This window comes from Homo sapiens, chromosome 8 (genome assembly GCF_000001405.40).
Source record: "Homo sapiens chromosome 8, GRCh38.p14 Primary Assembly".
Taxonomy (NCBI): Eukaryota; Metazoa; Chordata; class Mammalia; order Primates; family Hominidae; genus Homo; species Homo sapiens.
The window spans coordinates 5160500-5165650 of NC_000008.11; the positions used below are offsets into that span (position 1 = coordinate 5160500).

The 5151-nt window shown below is 39.9% G+C and overlaps 1 annotated feature.

Moving 5' to 3' along the window:
* Nucleotides 847–1347: an enhancer, noted in NCBI's record as "H3K27ac hESC enhancer chr8:5018868-5019368 (GRCh37/hg19 assembly coordinates)". NCBI's record gives its function as "activates a minimal SCP1, AML or CMV promoter by ChIP-STARR-seq in naive H9 embryonic stem cells {active_cell/tissue: H9 hESC(naive)}" and the evidence as "EXISTENCE:reporter gene assay evidence [ECO:0000049][PMID:30033119]".

A 5151-nucleotide genomic window follows, 5' to 3' on the forward strand; every position in this document is an offset into this window, starting at 1 on the left:
AGAGCTGCTTTGGGCTACTTTTATCACCTGAGAGTCTCATCTGCATAACAAGGCAATCTTTACTTACCATATATTTATATATTTCCTCCCCTTGCCCTCTCCTGTCTCCAACCCCCACCGCTAGTCCCCATGCCCTGCCAGAAACCCTAAGCCCCTATTTCTTTGTGTAGCTCAGTATGCTGTATAAGCTTCAAACATCTGGCCCTTCCTCAAGTCTCTTATTTTTGTGAGACGCTCAAGTTTAAGTACATAATTAAATATGGGTTTTCTCAGGTAAATCTGTCTTATGTCAATTTAATTCATAACGCAGCCAAAGTACCTAGAAGGCTGGGGAGAAGCTATTTTCCCTTCCCCACAGAATGAGAGCCAATGAATTATTTGTTTTTCCCTTTCCTCCTCTGGATTTATTCCCTAAAATGCAACTTAAATAACGTCTTGAAGAAAAAAAAAAAAATCACAGGATCAGCAATCAGTTATACTTCGTGGCAGCCAGGTATGTCCAAGAGTGCCACATTGGCTCTCCATCCTTCTCTGTCTCACTCTCGCTGGCCCTTAATTCTCTTCCTGGAATTGCACTCCCTAATAAATTATTAGCCCCTAAACTATTACCTTAGCTGCTGCTTTCTGGAAATCCCAGGCCAAAACAGAAGGGAATCAACAATTAGCATTATTAAAGACAATCATTAGATACACTTTTAAAACAAATTATAGAGTTCAGCAATTTTTTCAAGTACAAGATGATCACCAATAATTATTTAGAAAAACATTCTGAAAGGAAGATATCATTAACAGTAATAGTAATAGTAGTAAATCTGCCAAATTAGTGCAGGAAAATGAAATATGGCTGATTATACAGAATAATCACAAACACAAAGGAAGCTTGTATAGAAATGGCCCAAGAAGGAGTGAAAATGGAGAATGATTTAATGGATAGTGTTAGGGAAAATGCATCATAATGTGAAAAAGAGTAAAATGGAATTTCTACGGAAAAAAAAATGTTAAAATAGTTGGACAATAGTTTGTGTTTCAGCATTGAGAATATGACCCTTACACGGTATAAACCTCGAAATATCAACACGTAAGAGTTCAGTAGGTTGGCTGTGAACCGATGAGAGATTCACAGACATTCCTTAACCTGCTGTACCACGCAGCCAGGTGCTCTATTGCATAACTGATGGAAAGGGAGCTGGTTATTCAGCTGAATTCAGTCGCTAGATAGACGTTAAAGCTGACAGAACCTGGATTCCATGGCGTTTCTACGCTGAAATGTCCTAGAAATCACATTAGCTTCCTGCCAACCTCCCCACTGGTATTCACGAGGGTAAGGGGACTGAGGACTTCCGGCTCTGTATCTGAGCAGACTTCCGGCTCTGCATCTGAGCGGACTTCCGGCTCTGCATCTGAGTGGACTTCCGGCTCTGCATCTGAGCGGACTTCTGGCTCTGCATCTGAGAGTCTCCAGGCCATGCGTGCAGGTTCCCTGCACACCGTCCTGCTCCCCGTTTCTCGGGTTCTTAGTAAATAAACTTGGTGCTAAGCCTAATGGAGCCTTTTGAGTTTGATTGACAATTGGAGTAAAGACTTTTTGGTTGTTTTGTATCCAAGTCATATTATATACAGGCATGGACACTGGTTATACAAGAGACATCAGTGTAAAAGGCAAAAATTTAAAGGAAATTAGAATATATTGATGGACAGGAACACATCAAAATTAAGGACTTATGTTTATGGGATTATTCTGACAAATGTAAGTTTGTGGACAGATTAGAAGAAGACATTTGGGACATCTAAAAATGCAGAAGAATTAATGTTACTATCTAGAGTATCAGAATAAATATTGCAAATCTGTGAGGATATATGAAGCCAGGCAAAAGATGTAATCAGAAAATGTGCAGAATGAAAAGCTGGAAGACTAGTGAGTTCATGAGTAGTGCCTAAAAACTGGAAAATCAGTAGAAACTTTTTAAAGAAGTCACCAAATTAAGCTGATTTGAAATCTAGGAGCTGATTTTAAACCTAGATTAAAGCTGACTTTTAAACTAAAATCAAAATCAATTTTTTATAGTGTGAAAAATAAAGACAGACATTTCAATGATTTAATATACTCACGAGGCTTGGGCTTTGTGATGAAAAGTTAAAAAGCATGAATTTCAAATGAGTTAGTGTGTTCCATACAACATAGGAAACAGCGTTTTGCTAGATTTTATATGACTTAAGCTGTGTATAATCCAGAGAGGTCAAAGTCCAGAGAAGACATGAGAAAACAAAATAAAGCCAGGTTGTGAAGACTTGCTACCAATCCCTCTTTAAAATGTGTTATTAGTAGACTTTACGTTTTGAGCAGTTTTACGTTTAAAGAAAAATTTAATAAAAAGTACAGAGAGTTCCTGTATATCTGTTCCTCCCCATCCCCATTTTAGTCTATTTATTAATAATATCTCTTGGTCAGGCACGGTGGCTCATGCCTGTAATCCCAGCACTTTGGGAGGCCGAGGCAGGTGGATCACGAAGTCAAGAGATCGAGACCATCCTGGTGAACATGGTGAAACCACGTCTCTACTAAAAATACAAAAATTATTTGGGTGTGGGGCTGTGTGCCTGTAGTCCCAGCTACTCGGGAGGCTGAGGCAGCAGAATCGCTTGAACCAGGGAGGTGGAGGTTGCAGTGAGCCAAGATGGTGCCACGGCACTCCAGCCTGGTGACAGAGCAAGACTTTGCATAAAAAATAAAATAAATAAAGTAAAGGAATAAAGAATGGCTACTCCATAGACAGAGCAGCTCCAAGCGCTGCTGGTTTCCCATTTTTATGGTTATTTCTTGATAACATGCTAAACAAAGGGTGGATTAATTATGCCTCACATTTTAGACCACATAGGGTAACTTCCTGACATTGCCATGACATTTATAAACTGTCATGGTACTGGCAGGTATGTAGCAGTGAGGACGACTAGAGGTCACTTTTGCCACCCTCTTGGTTTCAGTGGGTTTTGACTGGCTTCTTTACTGCAACTGGTTTTATCAGCAAGGTCTTTATGACCTGTATCTTGTGCTGACCTCCTATCTCATCCTGTGACTTAGAATGACTTAACCTCCTGGTAATGCAGACCAGCAGATGTCAGCCATATTTTATGCAGCTTCTATTCAATATGGAGTTGCTCTGGTTCAAATGCCTCTGAAACCCTAAAAAACCCCTGTGCTCTGCCTGTTTATTTCTCCATTCTTCCACGTGAGCCTCTGGAAACAACTGATTTTTTTCTTCACTGTCTCCATAGCTTTGCCTTTTTGAAAATATCCTATAGTCAAAATCATACAGTGTGGAGCATTTTCAGAATGGTTTATTTCCCTTAATAATCTGCATTTAAGTTTTCTCCATATATTTCAATGACTTTATAGCTCACTTCTTTTTATTGGTGAGTAATATTCCAACGTATAGACATACCACAGTCTGTTAATTCATTTCTCTTACTGAAGGACAAGCTTGCTGCATTCAAGCTTTGGCAGTTATGAATAAAGCTTCTATGAACATCGGTGTGCAGTTTTTGTGTGAATATAAATTTTCATATCATTTGTGTAAATACCAAGGAGTGTGATTGCTGGATGGCATAGCCAGAGTATACTTAGTTTTACAAGAAAATACCAAACTGTCTCCCAACATGGACGTACCATTTTGCATTCTCACCAGTGTTACAGTCTCACCAATGCCTCACAATGTATCAGTCTCTCATTATAAGATGTTACCCAGAGTTTTCTCTTTCACAAACAAGAGAATTAAGAAGCATGGACACAAAGGGTGAGGTTGGAGTGAAAGTTAAATAAACAAGAGAAGAAAACACTTCACCATGGAGAAGGGACCTAGAAGACGGTTGCTGTTTTTACAGTTGCATGCAAAGGCTTTTACAGGAAACCAGTGAGTGCTGGGCATCTCATTTGCATAAGGTGTGAATTTCTGGTAGCTCCACCCTATCGTCCTAGTGTGCATGCAGGCCCTTAGCTTGGGTTATCCCATATTGCTTTGTTCCCCTTACTACACACGTGTTAGGGGATGGATCTCAGCAATTCACCTGTGTAGCCTTTCTTATCTATGCAGTTGTGGGTATGTCTTAGGCAAGCCCCTCTGTGCAAGTTCCCTTATCTATGCCTGCAGCTTAATTTTTTAGGCTGTTCTTTTGTTTGAAAGAATTTTACTGAGAACCCATCTTAACTGACTGCCTGACCATTTCCTTCCTTTCTCCTCTCTCACCACCAATGAATAAAAGTTCCTGTTACTCCACATTTGTTGGTGTCAGTGTTTTGGAGTTTCATCATTTTAATAGGTGTGACGTGGTATCTTATTGCTGTTTTAATTTACAATATCCTGATTACATATGATGTGGAACATCTTTTCTAACCCATACCTAATTTTTTCTTTTGCCTGTACTTAAATTTACCAGTCTGTGGTCAATCTTTCCAAAATGATCCCAAAGAAATTAATGTCTTTTTGTTTCTGTTAAGTTATCCTAACCCAGGAGACTGTGTGTTTCCTAAAATGTCTATGAAAAATTGCATACACTCCAATAATAATTGGCATCACTACTATCTTTGTGCAGCCTGTTTGTTTTAGTGTCTGTGTCAAGCCTGTGTCAAGTGGGTTCACCTTGCCCATTGCCTAGACAGAGTGGATTTGTCAAGACAGGGGAATTGCAGTAGAGAAAGAGTAATTCACACGGAACTGGCTGTGTGGGAGACCAGAGTTTAATTATTGCTTAAATCAGTCTCCCCAATGATTCAGGGATCAGTGTTTTCAAGACTAATTTGGTGGGTGGGGAAAGGCCAGTGAGTCAAGAGTCAAGAGTCAAGGGAATTGAAGCTGTCCTCTTGTGCTGAGTCAGTTCCTGGGTGGGGGCCACAAGATTAGATGAGCCAATTTATCCATCTGGGTGGTGCCAGCTGATCCATTAAGTGCAGGGTCTCCAAAAAGTCTCAAGCACTGACCTTAGGAGCAGTTCAGGGAGGCTCAGAACCTTGTAGCCTCCACTGGCATGACTCTTAAATCATAATTTCTAATCTAGTGTCTAATTTGTTTGTCCTACAAAGGCAGTCTAGTCCCCAGGCAAGAAGGAAGTTTAGTTTGGGAAAGGGCTGTTATCAACTTTGTTTTAACTATAAACTAA